The sequence below is a fragment of the Homo sapiens genome, chromosome 18 (assembly GCF_000001405.40).
Source record: "Homo sapiens chromosome 18, GRCh38.p14 Primary Assembly".
NCBI lineage: Eukaryota > Metazoa > Chordata > Mammalia > Primates > Hominidae > Homo > Homo sapiens.
Genome location: NC_000018.10, coordinates 9,610,393 through 9,635,780, shown reverse-complemented (window position 1 = coordinate 9,635,780; position 25,388 = coordinate 9,610,393). Strand labels below are relative to the sequence as shown.

Here is a 25,388-nt window from a genome sequence, read left to right as displayed (position 1 = left end):
CAAGTAGATGCTGGCACCATGCTTCCTGTACAGTCTGCAGAACCTTGAGACAATTTAACCTCTTTTCTTTTTACATCATCCAGCCTCAGGTATTTCTTTATAGCAATGCAAGAATGGCCTAATACAATGGATGTACAAATATTTTTTAGGGTCCCGGCTTTTAGTTATTTTGAGTAGTTACCTAGAAGTGGAATTGCTGGATCATATGGTTATTTCTATGTTGAATCTTTTGAGGAGCCACCATCCTGTCTTCCACAGCAGCTGTGCCATCTTATATTTCTACCAGCAATGCAAAAAGGTTCCAATTTTTCCACATCTTCACCAGCACTTTTTATTTTCTGTTCATTTGTTATTTATAATAGCCATTTGATACGGTATGGCTGTGTCCCCACCCAAATCTCATCTTGTAGTTCCCATAATCCCCACATGTCATGGGAGGGACATGGTAGAAGATAATTGAATCATGGGGGTCATTTCCCCTATCCTGTCCTCGTGATAGTGAGTGAGTTCTCACAAGATGTGATGGTTTTAAGGGGCTTTTCTCTCATTTGCTCAGCAATTATCTTTGCCACTGCCATGTGAAGAAGGACGTGTTTGCTTCCCCTTCCACCATGATTGTAAGTTTTCTGAGGCCTTCCCAGCCACGCTGAACCAAGTCAATCAAATCTCCTTCCTTTATAAATTACCCAGTCGTGGGTAATTAGCAGCATAAAAACGGACTAATATAGCATCCTAACGGGTATGAAGTGATAGCTCCTTGTGCTTTTGATTTGCATTTCCCTTATAGCGGTATTGAGCATCTTCTCATGCGCTTATTGGCCATTCATATACCCTCTTTGAAGACATGTCTATTTGAGCCTTTTGTCCATTAAAAATATAAAATAATTTTTAGTCATTCAAGGAAGCGCACTTCTTATAGTTCTTAATATAATCATAAAATATTCTAGGGTTTTCTTGTTTTTTGTTTTTTTTTTTGAGATGGAATCTCGCTCTGTCGCCCAGGCTAGAGTGCAGTGGTATGATCTCAGCTCACTACAACCTCTGCCTCCCGGGTTCAAGTGATTCTTCTGCCTCAGCCCCCAGAGTAGCTGGGACTGCAGGCGTGCTCCACCATGCCCGGCTAATTTTTATATTTTTAGTAGAGACGGGGTTTCGCCATGTTGGCCAGGCTGGTCTGGAACTACTGGCCTCAGGTGATCTGCCCACCTCAGCCTCCCAAAGTGCTGGGATTACAGGCATGAGCCACCGCACCCAGCCAATATTTCTGTCTTAATACAGACTAGACCTTTATCAACCCACATTGATTTTGCAGATGTTGAGGAAAAATGTAAAGAAACTGTAGATAAGTTATTTAAGAAATATATAAATGTACATAAAGTACTATACATAAATATAAATCATATATTATATATTATACATATTTATATATCCAATATATTCATTTATATTGTACATAGATTGAACATATAAATGAATATATTTAATATATTGAATATATATAAATCATATATATATGATTTGAACAGTACACTGAATATGTATCATGGCCAAATGCCAAAGACCAAATTTTTTTTTCCAGATGGAGTTTTGCTCTTGTCATCCAGGCTGGAGTGCAGTGGCACAATCTTGGCTCACTGCAACCTCCACCTCCCAGGTTCAAGCAATTCTCCTGCCTCAGCCTCCTGAGAAGCTGGGATTACAGGTGCCTGCCACCACGTCCGGCTAAGTTTTTGTATTTTTAATAGAGACAGGGTTTCATCATGTTGGCTAGGCTGGTCTCGAACTCCTGACCTCAGGTGATCCGCCTGCTTCGGCCTCCCGAAGTGCACGGATTACAGGCATGAGCCACCACGCCTGGCCCAAATTACCAAATCTTAAAAACAATATTCAGCCAAAGCTAAGAGAGATCCAGGTTCTGTCAAAGCAGAAGCAGAAGTTGAATACCACCGTCACAGATTAAGCTTCTCAAGTACAAAGATAAATGGCATGTTATCAAAAAATTTAATTAAGATTATAATTTTACCCTTACATATTTTAATAACCAATGTTTTAAAGTTTGACATTATTGTGTAGGAACAAAATTTGTCAAAGCTGTCAGCTGTGAATTCGCGTCTGTAGTCACTCAAGTGCACCTTTATGAGACAAGATTGTCACCAGCACATTGGACGATGGCACCAATCCTTCATCCACAATTGAATATAACTCAAGAAAGGGACTTCAGTGCTGTATTTTCTCAAAGGAACTATGTACCAAGACTGGGAAAATCTCAAAAGTACTTTTTAACTTCAACTACCAAAAAACAGTTGGAAGAACACAGCAAACATTTAGGCAAGCCTTTTAATGTTTAGTTTTTATGTTTAATGTTTAGTTTGATGAACTCAAATCTATGAGAAAACATTCTTATGACATCTGTTTTTTTAAGTTTATTAGAAGGAACAAAATGTGGGCTACCTAATTTTTCTCTAACACTTCCTTTTTTCCCTATTGTTCAAGCTTTTTAGTGTATGTATCTGGAATAAAAAATGTTCATTATGGATTTAACGTATGTTGTTTTGTACTTTTTTTCTCCCTGTAAAACTGAGATGGCAAAATTGACATTATGCTTTTAATATCTCATTCTCGTGATATGTAAAGAATTTTTCAAATAGAACTTAAGAAAAAAGACTTTTGGTCTAAAAGACATTTTTAAAAATTTAACATACAGTTCTTACAGATTATTTTGTTTAATGGTAAAATTGCAAGTATAGGGCCAGGCGCGGTGGCTCATGTCTGTAATCCCAGCACTTTGGGAGGCCAAGGCAGGCAGATTGCTTGAGCCCAGGAGTTAAAGACCAGCCTGGGCAACATTGGGAAAACCTGTCTCTACAAAAGTACAAAAAATTAGCCAGGCATGGTGGTACACACCTGTAGTCCCAGCTACTCAAGAGGCTGAGGTGAGAGGATCACCTGGGCCTGGGAGGTCAAGGCCACAGTGAGCTGTAATCGTGCCACTGCACTCCAGCCTGGGCAACAGAACAAGACATTGTCTCAAAAAAAAAAAAAATGCAAGTATAACAATTCTGAGAAGATTGGAATCATGATATAATCATGATTATGTTACCTTATGTGATTAATTAAATTTTTATAAATATGTATTGGCTTCACTACTATATAGCATTCATTCTAAAACTGACTACCTAAAACACTATTTTAAATAACAGCTTTCTAAATATGTATTAATATTGCAGCAGTTTCCCACGCAATTATAAACTTATGTTGAACTTTAATTGACAGAATTTCAACATAGGAAGCACATAAGGAGATTTCACTCTGTGTTATATTTAGAATGCTTAATTATATTTCAAAGGTTATATTCAAATACTAATAACAAATCCACGCCATGGTTATTCCTATGAGATTTCACTGCAACTAAATATGATGATAACCTGTGTACTTACCTGATCACCAAGCAGCAGAATCCCACATGCTAGAAATGATGTTGAAGCAGCACGGGGCTGCTTAGCCTTCCAAGGCTGTGAAATTAAAGCTGAGATTAAACCACTGAAGTCAGATGCCATCACTTTCCTAATATATGCACTATTTTATTTTTTAAATGGTGGAAAGATAGGAATGAGAGCTTTGTGAACCTGTGAATCCCAGCCCATCTTAAGTGCCATTAAATGTGGGGGATGGCATTTCCATTTCATAAAAGCAGTGACGGCTAAAAATAGAAAGCCATCGGTGACAAAGTTAATAGGAATTCAGCTTGATCTACTAACATTGCTGCCTACGTCACTAACTTTGGTTGCTCAGAATGAGTGATTGTTTAATAAGTTCTCTATTGGTTTACTTACTGAGTTTATACCATGTACCAGCCACTGTCTCAGCACTTTACAGGTATTACTCCCTTCAATCCTCACAATGGCCCAATGAGAAAGGCACTTTTATTATATTCATTTTACAAATGCAGAAACCAAATCAGAAAGAGGTGAAGCAATTCACCCAACTGCAGATCAAAAGTATTTGGGAAAAAAACGAAAAACCTAACTATATAATTTTAAAAACAGTTTGGGCATGGTGGCTCATGTCTGTAATCCCAGAACTTTGGGAGGCCAAGGCAGGCAGATCACTTGAGGCCAGGAGCTCAAGACCAGCCTGGCCAACACAGTGAAAACTCACCTCTGCTAAAAATACAAAAATTAGCCGGGCGTAGTGGCGCGCGCCTGTAGTCCCAGCTACTCGGGAGGCTGAGACAGGAGAATCTGGGGAGCAAAGGTTGCAGTGAGCCGAGATCGCTCCAATGCACTCCAGCCCAGGCAACAGAGCGAGACTCTGTTTCAAAATAATAATAATAACGATAATTTTAAAAACAAATTTTAACTGTTTGCCCAGCATTTATATTGTATTAGTTATTATAAGTAATCTCGAGACGATTTAAAGTGTACAAGAGGATGTGCGTAGTTTACATGCAAATACGGTAACATTTCATATAACAAACGTGAGCATTTCAGGATTTTGGTATTTGATGGGGGTCCTGGCACCAATCCCCTCCAGATACCAAGGAACAACTGTACGTGTTTATCCTATTCAAAATAAATATTGTATTTTAATTACCAAGCAAAAGTTACAACTGCTAAAATGGCACAGGGAAAAAAGAGATCATGAGTTCTGTCTAGATAAGAAGTCAAAAGCCATGGCTCCCACCCCCAACCCTGCTCCTGACTCCTGTTGCTACCTTGAACAAATGGCTCTCTGCACCTTGGTTTCCTTGTCGTGTAAATTAAGAGAAAGTTTGAACTAGAATTTTAAATTTCTGAGTGCAGGAATTATGTGTGGTTTGTTCATCACTTTATCCCCCAAAAGTGTTGAATGAATGACTAATAAAAGAGTAAATGGTGGAAATAAAGAAAAGAAAGACGTGAAGTAATTGCTCAAAGACCACACATCTGAAAGTGGCAAAGCCAGTGTCCGTGGCAGCTGCCTGGCTGCAGAGACCCCGCTTACCTCCCCACACTGCCCAGGTGCGGGTCACACGGAGATGAGTGGTTGTCACACAGCTAGCATTAAGGATTTCCTTTTCTCTCAACTTTCAGGTTAGAGGACTAAGTATCTTTGATTTAATCAGGACGCTACTGTAGTCCCAGTTCACTAGTGGTATCTACCCAAGGGGCTGGAGGTGCAGGGAGAGACAGATAATTCTAAACTCGCAGCTGAGGGAAGGTAGGTTGAAGACTTAAAGGGGATGGAAAAAGTGAAGGGCGAGAGAGAAACGGTGGATAGGAAAAAAAAGATAAGGTGCACACTTATTTCTCCCATTTGCCTGGGGAAAGGCAAAGTTTTGCAACACTTTATTGCAAAAAGCAAAATAATTAGTATTAAATAATCATAGTAAATCAGGTAAACATTTTCTTTTTCTATTCCTCCCCTCTTCATCCTCTTATTCTTTCTCCTCTTCTTCTTCATTTTTTTCCTGAAGATGATACAGAGAAAAACTCAGTTTTTGAAATTCTTAGGTGTTGGTGCCGGGCTATATATTGTCACACAAGTCTTTCTGGATGAGGCAATTTTTTTTGTTTCTTAACACACTTTTATAAATCAAAAGTAAAATATGCATACAGAATATCACTCTAAAAAAAGACATTACAGAAAAATGTCTCCAAATATGTTGAGTTTATCTGGGAATGAGAAAAGAGGATTATAATCTGGATGCACAAAACAGCAAGCCACAAATGCAGCCAGCTGGGGAAGGGCAAAGGGAAGTTCTATTGGCTGAAAGGGAGAAGTTTACATAAGCTGCTTAGAAACTGAGCTAATTGGTTCCAGAGGCTCAAAGTGAGTTGTCGTCAGTTCATTGGTGAAGATGGTGTTATTGAACAAGTGTTCTTTTGAGAGCATCTTATCTCAATTACTGCAGTCCTAAAGAATGTCTAGTGATAAACTTTGTCATAAAAATACATGTTTAGGCTAGGCGTGGTGGTTCATGGTTGTAATCTCAGCACTTTGGGAGGCCGAGGCAGGAGGATCGCTTGAGGCCATGAGTTTGAGATCAGGCTGGGCAACACAGCCAGACACTGTCTCTACAAAAATTTTTAAAAATTGGCAGCATGTGGTGGTGTGCGCCTGTAGTCCCAGCTACTCAGGAAGCTCAGGTGGGAGGATCCCTTGAGCCCAGAAGTTTGAGGCTGCAGTGAGCTATCATTGTGCCACTGCATTCCAGCCTGGGTGACACAGCGAGACCCTATCTCAAAAAAAAAAGAGAAAGAAATAACGTGTATACGCGCCAAATATGCAAGCCATGCAAAGCAGGAGATGCATGTAGGATGTGGAGGGATTTCTTGTGGGTTTTTAGAAAGTGCTGGGAAACAGTTCTTATTTGAGATGCAAGCCTGAGCCCCTTTGTCTTCTCAGCCCTATTTTGTCTGGGTCTGACTAAAGCAATTTCATCTTGGTATCTGCAACTTTTATAAGAAAAAGTAATCCCCAAATCATATGATACAGCATGAAAAATTATCACAGCGGTTCACACATATGCAGATTAAGAACTGGAACTTTCCTGGCTGGGCACAGTGGCTCACTCCTGTAAACCAGCACTTTGGGAGGCCGAGGCGTGCGGATCACTGAGGTCAGGAGTTGGAGACCAGCCTGGAAAATATGACCAAACCCTATCTCTATGAAAAATACAAAAATTAGCCAGGTGTGGTGGCACATGCCTGTAGTCTCAGCTACTCAGGTGGCTGAGGTGGGAGAATTGCTTGAACCCAGGAGGCGGAGGCTACAGTGAGCAAAGATTGTGCCACTGCACTCCAGCCTGGGTGACAAAATGAGACTCCGTCTAAAAAAGCAAAACACAAACAAAAAAACAACTGGAACATCCCCAAGACCCAGAAGCCCTGCTCCAGGCCTGGAGTCATTTTCCATCCCATCGGCAAGGTCACCTCTAAACTGACTAATAACACCAAGGTTAGTTTTGCCAGTTTTAAAAATTTGAACAAATGGAATCACACAGAATGTATTCTTCAGTGTCCGGCTTCAGTTAACATTATGTTGGTGATATTTGTTCATTTCATGAAGTGTGGCAGTTGTTTATTCACTTTCATTTTTATATAGTTTCCACAATATGAATATACCACAATTTTATTCATCCATTCTAAATGTTGATGGACACTAGGATTTCTTCTAGTCTGGGTGTTTTTTAAACAAATAATGGTGATGTGCACACATTTTTTGGAGTGGAATTGTTAGATCATAGGTTCTGCATGTGTTCAGCTTTGGTAGATATTGCCAAATATTTTCTAAAACGGTTGTACCAATTTACATTCCAAAGAGGATTGTATGATAGCTGTGTTAGGCCGGGAGTGGTGGCTCACACCTGTAATCCCAGCACTCTGGGAGGCTAAGGTGGGTGGATCATCTGAAGTCAGGAGTTCGAGACCAGCCTGGCCCATATGGTGAAACCCCATCTCTACTACAAATACAAAAATTAGCCGAGCATAGTGGTGCATGCCTGTAGTCCCAGCTACTTGGGAGGCTGAGGCAGGAGAATTGCTTGAACCTGGGTGGCTGAGGTTGCAGTGAGCCAAGATTGCGCCACTGCACTCCAGCCTGGGTGACAGAGTGAGATTCTGTCTCAAAAAAAAAAAAAAAAAAGAAAAGAAAGAAAAAAAGAAAGCTGTGTTGTTCCATGTGGTAGGCAGAATAACGTCCATATTCTCAACCCAAGAACCCGTGAATATGTTACCGCCCCTGGCAACAGGGTCTTTGCAGCTGTGATTAAATTAAAGCTATTGACAAGGGGAGATGATCCTTGTTTAGACAGGTGAACCTAATGCCATCGTAAATTTCTTAAGGTAAAAGAGAGAGGAAGAGAGTTAGAGGGTGACATAACTGTGGAGAAAGGGACAGAGAGATGCAACAATGCTGAAGATGAAGAAAGGAGGCCATGAGTCACAGAAAGTGGAGGTATCTAGAAGCTGGAAAAGGAAAGGAAATGCGTTCTCCCCTAGGGCTTCCAGAAAAGAATGCAGCCCTGCTGACACTCTGACTTTAACTCAGTGAGATCCGTGTCAGACTTCTGACCTACAGAACTGTAAGATAACATATTTGAGTTGTTTTAAGCCCCTAAGTTTGTGGTAGTTTGTTACAGCATCAACAGAAAACTAAGAGACTCCACATTCTCAACACATTGTCTGTGTTTTGAGTTTTTTGCTATTCTGGTGGATGTGTTATGGTATCTCATTATGGTGTTTATGTTTCCCTGATGAGAAATGAGCTTGAGCACCTTTTCATACGGTTTTTAGCCACGTAGATATTCTCTTTTATAAAGTACCTGTTCATACATACTGCCAATTTGCCTACCAGGTTGTCAGTCTTTTTCTCATTGGTTTATAGGTCTTTGTATATTCTGAATATAAACCTTTTTTCAGTTATGTGTATTGCAGATATATTCCACTTTATAGCTTGTGTTTTCATTCTGTTAATAGTGTCTTTGTCTAACATAACTTCTTAATTTTAACATCATTCAACTTATCTTTTCCTTCATGGTCAGTGTTATGTGTCTGTTTAAGGAATCATTCTCTGCTGGGTGTGGTGGCTAATGCCTGTAATCCCAGCACTGTGGGAGGCTGAGGCAGGAGGATTGCTTGAGCCCAGGAGTTCGAGACCAATCTGAGAAACATAGTTAGACCCTGCCTCTAGTAATTAAAAAAAAAAGAAAAGAAAAGAAAGAAAGAAATCATTCCATACCCCAAGGCCAAGAAGATATTCCCCTATGTTATCTTTTTCTTTTGTCATTTTTCTTTCTTTCTTTTTTTTCTTTTTTTTTTTTTTTTGAGACACAGCATCACTTTGTTGCCCAGGCTGGAGTGCAGTGGCATGATCTCAGCTCACTGCAACCTCCGCCTCCCAGGTTCAAGTGATTCTCATGCCTCAGCTTCCCAAGTAGCTGAGATTACAGATGCCCACCACCATGCCCAGCTAAATTTTTTTTGTATTTTTAGTAGAGACAGGGTTTCACCATGTTGGCCAAGCTGGTTTTGAACTCCTGACCTCAAGTGATCTGCCCACCTCGGCCTCCCAAAGTGCTGGGATTACAGGCATGAGCCACCATGCCCAGCCTATGTTATCTTGCAAAGCTTTATTTTTTTACCTTTCTTATTTGTAACTAAATTCATCTGGAATTGGTTTTTGTGTATGAAGCAAGGTAGCGACCAATTTGCTTTTTTTTTTTTTGTCTCATATGGCACTCCAACCCTCCCAGCCTCAGCTTTCTCCCACAGCTTTATGGTGCTACTTTTGTCTTTTAGTTCTCTACATACCTACTATTGTCATAAATCAGGTATTGATATATGTGTGAGCCTGTTTCTGTACTCTTCATTTTGCTTTATTGGTCTATTTGTTTATGTTCACTCCAACACTGCACTGTCTTAGTTATTGCAGCTTTAATGTAAGTCTAGATGTCCAGCAGGGTAAGTTTCTCCCACTTGGTGGCTGTTCTTTGAAATTGGTTGTTCTTGGCTTGACCCTTTGCATTTCTGCATATACCTTTAGAATCAGGTAGTCAATATCCACTATCAACTTTATGTCATCATAAAGTCCTTAAAAGTGCCAGGCGCAGTGGCTCACGCCTGTAATCCCAACACTCTGGGAGGCCAAGGCAGATGGATCACTTGAGGTCAGGAGTTTGAGACCAGCCTGGCCAACATGGTGAAATCCCATCTCTGCTGAAAATACAAAAATAAAAATTAGCCGGGTGTGGTGGCATGCGCCTGTAATTCCAGCTACTTGAGAGGCTGAGGCAGGAGAATCACTTGAACCCAGAAGGCAGAGGTTGCAGTGATTGTGCCACTGCACTCCAGCCTGGGTGACAGAGTGAGACTCTGTCTCATAAATAAATAAATAAATAAATAAAGTCCTTAAAAGTGGAAGAAAGAAAAAGAGACAGAGGGTGACATGACTTTGGAGAAAGGGTCAGAGAGATGCAATGTTGCTGAAGATGAAGAAAGGAGGCCATGAGTCACTGAAAGTTGAGGTATCTAGAAGCTGGAAAAGGAGAGGAAATGCATTCTACCCTAGGGCTTCCAGAAAGGAATGCAGCCCTGCTGACACCCTGACTTTAACTCAGTGAGATCCGTGTCAGACTTCTGGCCACCCATAAAAAAAATCTAGGCCGGGCACAGTGGCTCACACCTGTAATCCCAGCACTTTGGGAGGCCAAGGTGGTGGATCACCTGAGATCAGGAGTTCAAGACCAGCCTGGCCAACATTGTGAAACCCCGTCTCTACTAAAAGTACAAATATTAGATGGGTATGGTGGCACAAGCCTATAATCCCAGCTACTCGGGAGGCTGAGGTAGGAGAATTGCTTGAAGCTGGGAGGCGGGGGTTGCAGTGAGCCAAGATCGCACCACTGCATTCCAGCCTAGGAGACAGAGCAAGACTCCATCTCAAAACAACAACAACAATAACGACAACAACAAAATTGGCTCAGATTTTAATCAGGAATGAATTGAATCTATAAATCAGTTTGAAAGACAATTGACCTTTCATAAAATTGAGCTTTCTAATCTGTGGTCTTGATGTAGCCTATCATTTTCTTTTTTTGTTTTTTAGATGGAGTCTCGCTCTGTCACTCAGGCTGGAGTGCAGTGGTGCAATCTCGGCTCACTGCAACCTCCGCCTCCTGGGTTCAAGAGATTCTCCTGTCTCAGCCTCCAGAGTAGCTGGGATTACAGGTACCCACCACCACGCCCAGCTAATTTTTGTATTTTTAGTAGAGACAGGGGTTTCATCATGTTGGCCAGGCTGGTCTCGAACTCCTGACCTCAGGTGATCTGCCCACCTCGGCCTCCCAAAGTGCTGGGATTACATGTGTGAGCCACCACGACCAGCCAGGCTATCATTTTCTTAAGAATTCATCAAGTTAAATTCTTTGATAATGTTTTATAGTTTTCTATGTAATGGTCCTGCACATCTTTCATTAGGATTCATTTTGAGGATTCAACCTTCTTAATGCTATTGCAAGTAACATTAAAATTTTTAATTCTATTTATAATTATTGAGTAGTTATATAATAGATATAGAACTGATCTTGTGTCTAATGACTGCTAAATTTACTTTTAAACTTTAAGTTTATTATTATTATTTTGAGATAAAGTCTTGCTCTGTCACTCAGGCTGGAGTGCAGTGGCATGATCATAGCTCACTGCAGCGTCGAACTCCTGGGCTTCAAGTAATCCTCCCACCTCAGTTTTCTGAGTAGCTAGTACTACAGGCATGCGCTGCCACACATGGCTATTTTTTACATTTTTTTAGAAATGGGTCTTGCTATATTGTTTAGGCTGGTCTTGAACTCCTGGCCTCAAGTGGTTCTACTGCCTTGGCCTCCCAAAGTGCTGGGATTATAGGTGTGAGCCACCACACTCAGCCTATTTTCACTTTTTTTTTTTTTTTTTTTTTTTTTGGAGACGGAGTCTCACTCTGTCGCCCAGGCTGGAGTGCGGTGGCATGATCTCGACTCACTGCAAGCTCCGCCTCCCGGGTTCATGCCATTCTCCTGCCTCAGCCTCCTGAATAGCTGGAACCACAGGCGCCCGCCACCATGCCCGGCTAATTTTTTGTATTTTTAGTAGAGATGAGGTTTCACTGTGTTAGCCAGGATGGTCTCAATCTCCTGACCACGTGATCCGCCCGCCTCGTCATCCCAAAGTGCTAGGATACCTATTTTCACTTCTTATAGTTTATTTGTAGATTCTTGTATCTTCTACATATATAATCATGTCATTTGTGAATACTGACAGCTTAACTTTGGATGAGACACATTTTACGTAGGAAGATGTGGAGAAATTAGAACCCTCATACATTGCTAATGAAAATGCAAAATAGCGTGGATGCATTGGACAACAATTGCCAGTTCCTCAAAGTAGTAAAGATGGAGTTAACAGCCGGGCGCGGTGGCTCACACCTGTAATCTTAGCACTTTGGGAGGCCGAGGCGGGCGGATCACGAGGTCAGGAGATCGAGACCATCCTGGCTAACACGGTGAAACCCCGTCTCTACTAAAACTACAAAAAATTAGCTGGGCGTGGTGGCGGGCACCTGTAGTCCCAGCTACTCGGGAGGCTGAGGCAGGAGAATGACGTGAACCTGGGAGGTGGAGGTTGCAGTGAGCCAAGATCACACCACTGCACTCCAGCCTGGGCGACAGTGCAAGACTCCATCTCAAAAAAAAAAAAAAAAAAAAAAGATGGAGTTAACAGATAACCCAGCCAAGGCTGCAGTGAGCCTTGATTGTGCCACTGCACTTCAACTTAGGCAACAGAGTGAGACCCTGTTTCAAATAAAACACAACAAACAAATGAAAAAAACACACAACCCAGCAATTCCACTTCTCGGGATATAACCAAGAGAATTGAAAGCATATATCCACACAAAAACTTGTAGATGAATGTTTATAGCAGCCTTATTCATAATAACTAAAACAAGGAAATAATCCAAATGTCCATCAGCTGGTGAAGGGATAAATAAAATGTGATATATCCATACAACGGACAATAGACATTAATAAAAAGAATTTTTTAAAAAAAGAATGAAATACTGATACATGCTAAAACATAGATGAATATTAAACACATTCAGCTAAGTGAAAGAAGCCAGTCACAAAAGACCACGTATTATACAAATCCATTTATGTGAAATGTCCAGAATAGAGAAATCCATAGGGACAGAAAATACATTACTGGTTACGCAGAACCGGGGTTGTTGTAGTGGCAATCAGGAGTGACTGTTAATGATACGTGTTTCTTTCTGGGGTTATGAAAATGTTCTCAAATTAGATGTGATGGTCACATAACTGAATATTCTAAAAACTAAAGAATTGTACATTTTAAATAGGTACATTTTATTTTATTTATTATTATTATTTTTTTGAGGCAGGGTCTTATTCTGCCACCCAGGCTGGAGTGCAGTGGCACGAGCACAACTCACTACAGCCTCCACCTCCTGGGTTCAATCCATCCTCCCACCTCAGCCTCCTGAGCAGCTGGGACTACAGGCGTGCATCACCACACCCAGCTAATTTTTGCATTTTTTGTAGAGATGGGGCCGCACCATGTTGCCTAGGCTGGTCTTGAACTCTTGGGCTCAAGCAATCCGCCTGCCTTGGTCTCCCAAAGTGTTGGGATTACAGGCATTGGCCACCTCGCCCAGCTAAATGGGTAAATTTTATAGTCTATAATTTATATCTCAATAAAGCTATTTAAAGTTTTGGGGTTTTTTGTTTTTTTTTGTTGTTGTTGTTGTTTTAAACGGAGTTTTGCTCTTTTTGCCCAGGCTGGAGTGCAATGGCACAATCTCGGCTCACTGCAACCTCTGCCTCCCAGGTTCAAGAGATTCTCCTGCCTCAGCCTCCCAAGTAGCTGAGATTACAGGCATGTGCCACCACACCTGGCTAATTTTTTATTATTATTTAGTAGAGACAGGGTTTCACCATGTTGGTCAGGATGGTCTCAAGCTCCTGACCTTAGGTGATCCACCCTCCTCAGCCTCCCAAAGTGCTGGGATTACAGGCATGAGCCACCACGCCCGGCTAAACTTTTTTTTCTTTTTTCCCCCCAAGACGGAGTCTCCCACTGTCGCCCAGGCTGGAGTGCAGTGGCGCGATCTTGGCTCACTGCAAGCTTCGCCTCCCAGATTAATGCCATTCTCCTGCCTCAGCCTCCCGAGTAGCTGGGACTACAGGCGCCCGCCATCACGCCCGGCTAATTTTTTGCATTTTTAGTAGAGACGGGGTTTCACCATGTTAGCCAGGGTGGTTTCAATCTCCTGACCTCGTGATCCGCCCACCTCAGCCTCCCAAAGTGCTGGGATTACAGGCGTGAGCCACCGCGCCCGGCCTAGGCTAAACTTTTTTAAATATAGGACTTTGAAAGCTTTAAAAAATAGGTAAACATAAACTGTTTGGGGGTATTATCTCTAAATTTTTGGAGATTTTAGTTTTTTCTTTATACTTTTCTGGGCACTCCAAAAACATGTATTTTTGTAATTGGAAAATTCAGAAAAGAATAAATGTTACAAAGATGTAGAATTCCGGCCGGCCATGGTGGTTCACACCTGTAATCCCAGCTCTTTGGGAGGCCAAAGTGGGAGGATTGCTTGAACCCAGCAGTTCAAGACTAGCCTGGGCAACAAAGTGAGACCGCATCTCAAAAAAAAAAAAATATGTAGAATTCCACCCCTCCCAACACCTGCCACATACCTACAAGCAGCAGCAACAACAAAACCTCCTAAAAAACCAAGAACATCGTTTGAGGGAGAAGTGAGTTGGCACCTGAGTTCAAGATTGTCTACCTGGATGATTTGTCCGAATAATGAAATGGTGGCAAACTGCAGCCATTCAAGCCAAGGGCAGCTGGTGAGAGGACACTGTTAAGGCACTTGCTTGGGAATTTCACAGAATTGTGATGAACAAAATATTATATGAGAAAGATAATTTTTGTATACTTGGCCAGAATAATTGAAACAGGCTAGTTAAAAAGTTATTAGTATGGTTTTGAAGTGGTTAATATCTTGGTCAGGATATTGAGTGAGAAACGGAGTGAAGAGGTGACTCCTAAAATGTTTCAATGACAAAATCCTCAGGGAACAGTGATAACTTAGATGGAATTAGAGATTATACCAAGACCATACATGTTGAAAGACTAGAAGTTCTCTTAATGCGAAAGAAGTTGACGAAGGACCATTTTGACAGAAAAGCTATGAATGTGAGGATACGCAAACGCTATTGCCATTATTTAGAATCAGGATTCCAGTGTTTGAATACTAATTCCCCTATTTGCTTGCTTGCTTGCTTTCTTTCTTTTCTTTTTTTTTTTTTTTTTTGAGACAGTCTCACTCTGTCACCCAGGCCAGAGTGCAGTGGTGTGATCTCGGCTCACTGCAAACTCCACCTCCTGGGTTCAAGAGATTCTAATGCCTCAGCCTCCCGAGTAGCTGGGATTACAGGCATGTGCCACCACACCCAGCTAACTTTTGTATTTTTAGTAGAGACAGGGTTTCACCATGTTGGCCAGGCTGGTCTCGAACCCCTGGCCTCAAATGATCCACCCACCTCGGCCTCCCAAAGTGCTGGGATTACAGGTGTGAGCCACTGTGCCAGGTCATTTGCTTTTTGATCTTTGTCAAAATACCCAACCTTTCTGAGCTTCGATTTCCTTTATTTTTAAAATGGTAATATCAATTTCTACTTCACAGGGCTGTTTTAAATAATCAGAAAGCACATAAAAGTGCTTAACAGGCTGGACGCGGTGGCTCACACCTGTAATCCCACCACTTTGGGGGGCCGAGGCAGGTGGATCACTTGAGGTCAGGAGTTTGAGACCAGCCTGGCCAACATGGTGAAACCCCGTCTGTACAAAAAAAAAAAAAAAATATATATATATATATACAAAAATTAGCTGAGTATGGTGGTGGGCGCCTGTAGTCCCAGCTACTCAGGAGGCTGAGACAGGAGAATCGCTTGTACCCGGGAGGCGGAGGTTGCAGCAAGCTGAGATTGCAGCAAGCTGAGATTGTGCAACTGCACTCCAGCCTGGGTGATGGAGCGAGATTCCATCTCAGAAAAAAAAAAAAAAAAGAAAAAAAGAAAAAAAAAGAAAAAGCGCTTAACATGATGCCTGGCACACGCTCTGAAAAATGTTTCATATATACGGTAATATTACCATTGGGGGAACTGATGTGAAAGTGACATAGGACATCCTGGCACATCATTTGAAACTTCATGTAAATCTGTAATTGTTTCTAAATAAAAAGTTAGAAAATGTATTAGCTATCTAGTCTGGGAATTATATTGTGTCATTGTGCTAATATTTTTCCCACCAAAGGAAGGAACCAAGGACCAGAGACACAAGCAATTTGTTACAAACAGTTACAGAGAAGTGAAATGAGAATGGAAGTAATTTCTTCTGAATCATATTACCATAGAGCAGCCTTAGTGTGAAGGGAGCTTAGAGTCAGGGCAGTTAACCACTGAACTTATCTGGGTTTGAATATGTGGTTTGCTATGGTTTATTTCCTGGTTCAACTTGACTCATCCATTCAGATTCAGAATAATAAACATTTAAACATTTAAAATAATAAGCATCTAAAATGATAAGCATTTCCTCCACACGTACTCTGTGCCAGGCATTGTGGAAGCCTCTCCCATATTGCTTTGAATGGGATTGCAACTAAAGCTTTCTAAATTCTAAGAGAAAGGCACAAAGGAAATTTACTACTGCCACTCTAATCCATTTAGTGCTCACTGTTTAAACATCTTTGTTTTCTCTTAATGAAATTAAAATGTGTGGAACAAATTGTGTAGGATGTAGTACCTCATCAGTGGGGAATTCTTTTGCCTCTACTAACCTGGAGCACTGGGAAAAGCACGGGAGTAGGGAACATAGTGGATAAGAAAAAGAGGGTTTATTTTCCTTTATACTCAGTTTACAGTAGTGATTCCAGCAGGATGCACTATTTTGTTCAGAAAAAGCTGATGCTAAGAAACTTGGAGCTGTGGCTGACGACCTTGGGACAGAGCTGAAGTTCTGTTGCATTCTCGGGGCAGTGTTCAGCTCCTGTAAATGTAGAAAGAACAGCCTGAATCAGGGTAACTCTGTATAGAGCTCAGTTCTGTAGGTATTTTTCTTCTCTTTTTTCTTTTCTTTTCTTCTCTTTTCTTTTCTTTTCCTTTCTTTCCCTCCCTCCTTCCCTCCCTCCCTCCCCTTCTTTCTTTCTCTCTTCTTTCTTAAGCACAGTGTGAGAAAATGTCTCTTTAGCTGATGTGAGTAAAGAGATCAAGTATCTTTGAAAAACTATGAAAGCTCTAGGAAAGGCTAAGGCTTCACATTCAGAATGTCACCTTGACAGGGAGCTTTAAAGGGAGATAGAAGAAGCATAGAGAGGAGGACAAGTAAAATTTCACAAATATACAATTTTTTTTTTTTTTTGAGACAGTCTCGCTCTGTCACCCAGGCTGGAGTGCAGTGGCGCGATCTTGGCTCACTGCAAGCTCTGCCTCCTGGGTTCACGCCATTCTCCTGGCTCAGCCTCCCGAGTAGCTGGGACTACAGGTGCCCGCCACCATGCCTGGCTAATTTTTTTGTATTTTTAGTAGAGACTGGGTTTCACTGTTAGCCAGGATAGTCTCGATCCCCTGACCTTGTGATCTGCCTGCCTCAGCCTCCCAAAGTGGTGGGATTACAGGCGTGAGCCACTGCGTCTGTCCTTACCTTTATACAATGTATAGAAATGTATAGGAGGCTTTAGGTAAGAGACTGGCAATTAGTTTTTTTAAATTGTTCCTTTTTTTTTTTGAGACAGACTCTCACTCTGTGTCCCGGACTGGAGTGCAGTGGCATGATCTTGGCTCACTGCAACCTCTGCCTCCCCGGTTCAAGTGATTCTCCTGCCTCAGCCTCCCTAGTAGCTGGGATTACAGGCATGTGCCACCATGCCCAGCTAATTTTTTGTATTTTTAGTAGAGACAGGGTTTCGTCATGTTAGCCAGGCTGGTCTCGAACTCCCAACGCCAGGTGATCTGCCCACCTCAGCCACCCAAAGTGCTGGGATTACAGGCGTGAGCCACCACACATGGCCTAAAAATTGTTCTTCTTATTTGAAAATGAGTTTATGAGGGACATTTTGTCAATCTGGCTTCAAAAAAGATGAATGAAATGAATGGTAAAAATTTGTTTAACGTGCTCGTTTCAGCAGCACATGCACTAAAATTAGACTGATACAGAGAAGATTAGCATGGCCCCTGTGCAAAGATGACACGCAAATTTCATTTTAAAAAAGCAAATAAATATTTGTTTAAAAATCATTTTTAATCATGTAAGTATTTCTCCATTTTTCAGACTGTTTCTCTTTTCATCATTTAAAACAATAAATAATAGGGCTGTCCTTATATACTTTCAGTTTCAGGAATGATAATTCTGAAGAAAAAAGTGAATGGTTCAATCACCGATACAAAAATTAACAAACATGATAGTGGCAAGCAACATCAGGTGGGTTTTGTTTATTAGCGATGTTTTCGCCATTTTTTTTTTATGTTTGTTTGTGGTTGAAAAGCCAGACACATTAATTTCCAAGGCTCATTGGCTGCTAAGAAAAATTGTCACTGTGGCCAGGCACAGTGGCTCATGCCTATAACCCCAGCACTTTGGGAGGCCAAGGCGGGCAGATCACCTGAGCCCAGGAGTTTGAGATCAGCCTGGGCAACATGGCAAAACCCCGTCTCTACGAAAAAATACCAAAATTAGCTGGGTGTGGTGGCGCCCACCTGTAGTCCCAACTACTCAGGGGGCTAAGGTGGGAGGACTGCCAGAGCCTAGGAGGTGGAGGTTGCAGTGAGCTGAGACTGCACCACTGCACTCCAGCCTGGGTGACACAGCAAGAGCCTGTCTCAAAAACAAACAAACAAAAACCCTTTCCTTATCATTTGGAAGAGGACTTATTCTTAAAAATGCAGGCCTTAGTACTTACATAGTTGGATGATGCTTTTAGGAAAATGACTTGGGACACTCCCCCTATATTTTACACATTTCAGTGGCAGAACAGGATAACAATTCAGACTTCCTGTGTGTCTGACCACGGACAACACACAGCTCTGCCATCCACGAGCTGCATTGTAAGTGAAGCTGGGTTAAAGGTATGTAGAATAATGATTGCTATTATTTGTTTAAATATTATTTCTTAGAAGAAGGGGACAGAGTGCAGTTTGTAAACACTGGTTTAAAAACTCCTTTCTTTTAGAAAGGAGAGAAAGTGAAATGTAAAAAACACATATTTGTGCTGAACCATGAATGATACCGTCACTGAAATATCTAAAAACCATATTGCTTAAAGGCACTTCTTGCAATGTGTAATTCAGCTAAGATGATAATCAAATGCATAGCTCTTGAATACAGAAAAATGATACAGATCCTCCTCCTTTGCTGCCCTTCCCACAGAATACTGAGATAAAACTTACTGAGGCCTAGCTACCAAAGGCAGAATTAGTTGTTCCATATCCTAGGCTAGCATTTGGTACATAGTCCCTATTTTATCATGATTACTGAGAACTGTTAAGTCTAACTCAACTGTGTAGATCAAGACAGTTTTGTCTTAGTGCATCCAGCGGCTGAAGCACAGTTGGCACGCTGTAGATTTTGTGTTGTTGCGGTGAGACCACCAGTTAGAATAAAGAGCTGATTTGGGCCGGGTTTGGTGGCTCACACCTGTAATCCTGGTGCTTTGGGAGACCAAGGCCAGAGGATTGCTTGAGGCCAGGAGTTCAAGACCCACCTGGGCAACACAGTAGAACCACGTCCCTAAAAAATTTTAAAAATAAATTGGCCAGGTGGAGTGGCCTGTGCCTTTAGTTCCAGTTACTTGGGAGGCTGAGATGGGAGGATCTCTTGAGGCCAGGAGTTCGAGGTTACAGTGAGTCATGATTGTGCCACTGCACTCCAGCCTGGGCTACGTAAGGCAAGACTGGCTCTAAAAAAAATTTGCTTTTTAATGAAAAAAAAAAAAAGAGCTGATTTGGCTCTTTCTTCCCCCATTTACCCAGAATTGCTAAAGTGGTAGATACTGACAAGGTATCTTAGCAGGGCAGAAGTCTCATGGTTTGAGTCAGTTGGGACCAATTGCTGTTGATGTGAATTTCTAACTCCTTTGTCATTCTGAGTGTGTCAGCTGAATTCACATAAGGGCATTCACCAAGGGAGGAAGAGAAAGGCCTTTAGTTTTAATTATTTTATAGTTGAGAAAATTAGACACATACTCGGGGTTACGGGGTCTATTCTGATTTTTATTACTCCTAGAAATTTCATACAGATTATAATCTGTCTATCTTGTTAGTAATATCTGACTGAATTTTTTGGAATAGCTATGTGTAGAACCCATTTTATTACACAGATTTAGGAATCTCAGAGGATCTGATTCCTTAGTCTCTTAAATCTTCAGTGGCATTAAATGCCAACACATTGTCCTTGGTCAAGACTACAACGTAGAAAGGAACAAGCTAATTAACTACTTAGAATTCCCTCTCCTAAGAGACCACATCGCCAAAGTGGCACCATGACACAGCTTGGTGTTTTGTTGGTCACTTTAGGAGAACACCATTTTGGAGGCCTTGGGTGGAGCTGGAGATAGAGCCATGGAGGTAGAATCGTGTCGGAAAACCTGGGTTTAGCCCCATTTTGTACTTGGGCGTTTGAGCTAATCGCTTAAGTCACGTAAAACAACAAGACTAATAAAGTCTGGGATACAGACTTTAACACCTCAAGTGCTGCCAAAAGTATTTAGAAGACAAAGCGAATCATAGGCACCCTTCACCGAGCACCTCCTAGACATCAAGAACCATGCTAGGTTCCCTACATTCTTCATTTAATGCCAATAACCCCACGAGGCAGTTATCACCTTCATTCTACAAATGGGCCCCACTCCTACCAATTAACTGGCTGAATCAGGATCTGACCCCGGGCCTGCCAACGCTCCCGCTGGTGGATTGCCCGCCTTGTCAGCTCGAGTTGGCAGGACGTGGGAGTAAAAACCCGGCGCCCCAGCCTTCACCGTGCTGCACGAGGAAGCTGGCTAGGCAGGCATGACTTTGTCAGTCAACCATCCCGCAGCCGGGCCCTGGGCTTTGTTAGCAGCCACTTGGCGAGGGCCCCGGGCGGGTGGGGAGGCGGCGCTTCCTCCAAGAGGAGGTGGGACCCCGGCCCCGACGACCTCGGAGCCGCCCCCGGCCCCGGATCGCCGACGACGTACGTGCAGGCCTGGGGATGGGGCGCTGGCTGCGAGCGGCGCGCCCGCCGAGATGGCTGCGGCTGGCAGGGCGGTGGGCGAGGCCGGTGACCCAATAAAGCGGCCGGGCCGCGGGAGGCCCCGCCCGGCCGGGTTCCGGCACTCGCCGCAGGGTCCCGGCCGGCGGCAGGTTGCGCGCCCCCGTCCGCAGCGCTCGGCGTGAGGGCGGCTCGGGAGGAGGGTGTGAGCGCGCGTCGCCGGGCCGGGACCCGGCAAGCAGCGGGAAAGGCGGGAGGCGGGAGCGCCGGTCGCCCGGGAGCCGCGCGGAGGGGCAGGCGGGGCGGGGCGGGGCGCGGCCGGGGGCCCGGGCGGCCGGGAGCCGCGCCGCCCGCGGCAGGCCCGGGCCCTCGGCCCGCCCCGCGCGCGCGCCCCCGCCAGCCCGGCCCTCCTCCTCCCCGCCGCCCCTCCCGCGCGCGTCCACCGGCTCCCCGGCTCGCGCCGCTCCATGTAGCCCCGGCTCCCCGGGCGGCCGCGGAGGAGGGGGCGACCACAAGATGGCGGGTACGTGGCCCCCTGTTCTCCGGGCGGCGGCGGCTCCTCGAGCCCACCCGCCCTCCGCCGCAGCCCTGAGTGGCTGCCGGGCCGGGGCCGGCGTGGGGTCCCGGCGCGGGAAGGCGCCCCCGGGGCGGGGGGGAGGCGGGCGGGGGGGGGGCGTCGCGCCGGGCCCCGGGGCGCTGACCGGGCCTTTCTTCTCTCCCCTCGGCGCAGACCTCTCGCTGCTTCAGGAGGACCTGCAGGAGGACGCAGACGGATGTGAGTGGCCCGGCCTCGCGGTGGCCTGGCAGTCCGCGGGGAGCGGCCGGGGAGGGCGGGCGGCGGCGAGGCCTGGGCCGGGCCCTGGCTGGCTGAGGGGACGGTGGGCGAGGGCGGCCCCAGGCGGGCTGGGGTGGCGATCGGGGGGGAAAATCTCGCGTCCGTGAGGAAACGGCGCGCCCAGGTTCCGCTGGGGGAGGGAGACGCCCGGAGTAACGCCCAAGTTCGCTTTCCGCCCTTCGCTCTCTTCTCCCGGCGCCCCCGAATCGCCTGCGGGCTCAGCAGTGGCGCGGCTGTTTTGGAAGGAGAAGCGGTGGGGCAGGATTTGAAGTGGGGTTTGGGTGTGTTTCTGCCCCTGGTGTCCCCTTCCCCCGTCACTCTAGGAAGGAAGAGGCTCGCGCGGGAGGTGTGTTTCCTTAGAGTCGCTCTTCCAGGAGCGCCCGGGGGTCAGCCTGGGCCCCGGCTAGCCGTCTGGGCTCCCCGACCCGGTTTTGGATTGTTTGAGGATGACATACCTGTCATTTTACTTTGGCTGGTAGCAGTTTTCAGATGCTCCCGATTTGATTAGTGGATTACGAGAAGGTTAGAAGGTGTGGCCTCCGCAGGAATTACTAGGTTTGGAGAGCATATTTCTTTAATGCGGATGTTCAGAAATCACCCAGCCCTCCTTCAGTGTTAACAGTGCAGCTTTCCTTTGAGGTACTGAAGTTTTTAAAGAGTTGACGCTTTTATTTTTAAAAAGACAAAGTTTCTGACATTTCCTGATGGCGACGGAATTGATATTTAGAAAGGAATTTTTCGTCTTATATGTACTTTTCTAAGCCTCAGAAAATAATTTGGGTCACGATAGAAAAGACAAAAGAGTTAAGCAGGTTTGTATTGAAAGAAGTGACAAATTGCAGTTAACTTAAAATAGTTTCTATTCTTGCTAATCTTCCAAAATAGCGACCCATCAAAAAATCAATAGGTTTTGAGATGCATTTTAAAAATGCAGAGTGTGCAAAATATATAAGCGAAGATCATGGGATACATAAGGGACCAAGAAATTGTTCTGAGTTGAGATGATAACCATAGTAGGATTGTGGTCTGTTTAGTGGAAAGCCTACCGGATGCTGAGATTGACTGTCTAGTACCTGTATAAGTAATTTCAGAGATGGCTGCAGTTTGAAATTACTCTTTTAAATACTCTGTAGTTAATCCTTAGCATTGTCTAATGTGGTTCCCTTACTCAGAGTAAACTTAATTTTTAGATTCCTGGTTGTTTTGAGTAAAGTAAGGGGGATTTACTATTTAGATGGATTATCTGAAACGAGTAATTTATCTTTAAAGTAAATGAACCACATCCAAACTTTTGCTAAGTCTGTGTTTTTAGTGAGGTGGCTCAAAACAGCTCTCTTAAAGGGAGCAGTACTCATGTAGTGAAGGGCAGCTTTAACATTTTATTTAATGTTTACCTTAAGCCACTTATCTGCCTAATAGTAAGTTTGAGATATTATTTAAGGCATCTGTTGATTTCAGATCTCTTGCCAGGTTAGGATTGGAGAAATGGCCCTGATTATGTTACCTCGAGGAGGGCTTTTTATATTTATGTTCGACTTCGTAAATAGAAGATTCATTTATTCAGCAAGTATTTATGACTGGAGCAAAAACTTCTCACTCCTGAAGGATGAAATGCAGTCTCAGTTTCTTCCTTAGCCCCCAAGAAGCACAGTGTAGAGGGGAAGGCATACCTGTGAAAAATTCAACCATGAGTTTCAACACTCTGCCAGGTACTGGGGATGGAGCTTTGAGAAAGATGGGCACAACCCATGCCCTCTAGTGGTTTACAAGCAGTTTTGAATCTAGGTGTACAGTACAGTATTACAGTTACCACTGGAGCCAGGCTGCTCTGTTTGTCTTAGCAGTGTCTTTTTGGGCAGACTTGGGCAACTCACTTAACCTCCCTATGCCTCAGTTTTGTCATTTGTAAGTAGGCATAAGAAATATTACCTACTTCATAGAGTTGTTCAAGGCTGTACATGAGTTAGTGCCTCTGAAGCACTTGGAACAATTCCTGGTAAACAGCGATGATTATGATTATGTTTGCTGTTATGAGAAAAGAGCAAGGGAAGCTTAAAAGAAGAGCAGAGAAGGAAACACTGATGTTGAACCTTACAGAATGAAGGTACTTAAAGATGCTGCCAATGCTCGCAACTAAATTTTTTTTTTTTTTGAGATGGAGTTTCACTCTTGTTGCCCAGGCTGGAGTGCAAAATGGCGCGATCTCGGCTCACCGCAACCTCTGCCTCCCGGGTTCAAGTGATTCTCCTGCCTCAGCCTCCCAAGTAACTGGGATTACAGGCGTGTGCCACCACGCCTGGCTAATTTTGTACTTTTAGTAGAGACGGGGTTTCTCCATGTTGATCAGGCTGGTCTCGAACTCCCGACCTCAGGTGATCCACCTGCCTTGGCCTCCCAAAGTGCTGGGATTACAGGCGTGAGCCACTGCGCCCGGCTGCAACTAACTTTTTAAAGATTCTGTTTCCTGTGCATTTTAATTTAGGATAAAACAGACATTGAAGGCACAATAGTTATTTGCATATTCATAATTTGGTTGAAGGCTTTGTTAGAGTAATTGCTTATTTTTCTCAGTTACTAAAGTTTTTACAGGTGATACCTTTACCCAGAATATTCAGGAACAAAGGACTTTTGGACATATGGCCAGTTGAAGGACCACTTCCCATCTCTTGTGAAGGGAGAAAGAATGAGGGGGAACACTGGGCCATGGTGCCTCCTTAGAGAGCAAGATGGTTGGTAAAGGACTGAGACAGCTGTCACATCCTGGAGAAGCTGGAGAAGGTAGAGGACCCAAAGGTAGAGGAACGGAGCTTGGGCTGCCCTTATAACACGGTTGTTATCTCGTGAGCCTGAGTTTCTCTGTCTATGGTAAAACTCCAGAGTATGGAGCCCAACCTCCAGAGTAGTTGTAAACAAGTCCTACTACTTCAGCCAAGCTAGGTGTAAGTTGGCCCTTGGGATGGGAAGAAATTGTTTTCTGGTCAAGCTCTAGAATCTTGGTTGACCTTCCTAAATGCAGAACCTGGACTATGAGGGAAGAGACAGTAAGTTCTGTTGTGCAGATGATCTAGGAAAGGACCTAGCTGGAGTCTAGGACTTGAAAGAGGGGCATTGCCAGACATTGCTAAGAGTCTCAGGTCTTTCGATTTGATTTGTTTTAATCCCGTCTCTGTACAGAGGCACAGAGTCGGGGAAAAGGTTGGTCAAAGACTGACTTGACTGATAACCTTTGGAGGAAAAAAAATCCTAATGAGGGAAAAATGGATGGTATTTGTGTGTGTGTGTGTGTGTGTGTGTGTGTACACATAATTTCATTGAAGGAGTTTCATTAGAACTTAAACTTTTATCAAGTAACTTATAAAGGTAAGTAAATGAAATCATTATCAGGTACTCTTAAATTTAGGAGAATAGGCTGGGTGCAGTGGCTCATGCCTGTAATCCCAGCACTTTGGGAGGCCGAGGTGGGCGGATCACGAGGTCAGGAGATCGAGACCATCCTGGCCAACATGGTGAAATGTCTACTGAAATACAAAAAAAAATTAACTGGGCGTGGTGGCGTGCACCTGTAGTCGCAGCTGCTCAGGAGGCTGAGGCAGGGGAGTTGCTTGAACCCAGGAGGTAGAGGTTGCAGTGAGCCAAGATTGTGCTACTGCACTCCAGCCTGGCGACAGAGCAAGACTCCGTCTCAAAAAAAAAAAGTTTAGGAGAATAATGCAATAAAAACCATATGTATTTAAGTTTAAAAGTGAAACTTTCAGTACTGTATCATGAAATAC

At 43.7% G+C, this 25,388-nt stretch overlaps 1 protein-coding gene, 1 long non-coding RNA gene and 1 pseudogene across 21 annotated transcripts in view, besides 4 other annotated features; 2 read left to right on the top strand and 1 right to left on the bottom strand.

Annotated features, from left to right (window-relative positions):
- Nucleotides 1-16,417: 16,417 nt before the first annotated feature.
- On the bottom strand, nucleotides 16,418-20,974 carry PPP4R1-AS1 (PPP4R1 antisense RNA 1). Of its 2 annotated transcripts, none has more exons than NR_110773.1 (3): nucleotides 20,767-20,974; nucleotides 18,496-18,633; nucleotides 16,418-16,586 (listed from the first exon to the last, which is right to left on the bottom strand). It is a non-coding gene; the product is annotated as a PPP4R1 antisense RNA 1 (long non-coding RNA). The 2 variants fall into 2 exon arrangements; NR_110774.1 differs by lacking the exon at nucleotides 20,767-20,974 and adding an exon at nucleotides 20,446-20,517.
- On the top strand, nucleotides 17,709-17,794 carry RNU6-903P (RNA, U6 small nuclear 903, pseudogene; annotated as a pseudogene).
- PPP4R1 (protein phosphatase 4 regulatory subunit 1) overlaps nucleotides 18,582-25,388 on the top strand; it is a 70,406-nt gene continuing 63,599 nt past the window's right edge. For 10 of the 19 annotated variants that reach the window (NR_052003.2, NR_168403.1, NR_168404.1 and 7 more), the window contains exons 1-2: nucleotides 21,222-21,303; nucleotides 21,511-21,555. Coding sequence is in view for 13 of the 19 variants with exons in the window: in XM_047437979.1 (XP_047293935.1) it covers nucleotides 21,297-21,303; nucleotides 21,511-21,555 (52 nt within the window). In the remaining 6 variants the exon portion in view is untranslated. Of the gene's footprint in view, nucleotides 20,763-21,221; nucleotides 21,304-21,506; nucleotides 23,325-25,388 lie in introns of those variants that run through there. The other 9 variants (XR_007066261.1, XM_047437976.1, XM_047437973.1 and 6 more) reach the window with 2 other exon arrangements.
- Nucleotides 20,526-21,035: a silencer, noted in NCBI's record as "silent region_9286". NCBI's record gives its function as "represses an Ori minimal core promoter by ATAC-STARR-seq in GM12878 lymphoblastoid cells {active_cell/tissue: GM12878}" and the evidence as "EXISTENCE:reporter gene assay evidence [ECO:0000049][PMID:35858748]".
- Nucleotides 21,136-21,405: a silencer, noted in NCBI's record as "silent region_9285". NCBI's record gives its function as "represses an Ori minimal core promoter by ATAC-STARR-seq in GM12878 lymphoblastoid cells {active_cell/tissue: GM12878}" and the evidence as "EXISTENCE:reporter gene assay evidence [ECO:0000049][PMID:35858748]".
- Nucleotides 21,506-21,755: a silencer, noted in NCBI's record as "silent region_9284". NCBI's record gives its function as "represses an Ori minimal core promoter by ATAC-STARR-seq in GM12878 lymphoblastoid cells {active_cell/tissue: GM12878}" and the evidence as "EXISTENCE:reporter gene assay evidence [ECO:0000049][PMID:35858748]".
- Nucleotides 22,026-22,105: an enhancer, noted in NCBI's record as "active region_13076". NCBI's record gives its function as "activates an Ori minimal core promoter by ATAC-STARR-seq in GM12878 lymphoblastoid cells {active_cell/tissue: GM12878}" and the evidence as "EXISTENCE:reporter gene assay evidence [ECO:0000049][PMID:35858748]".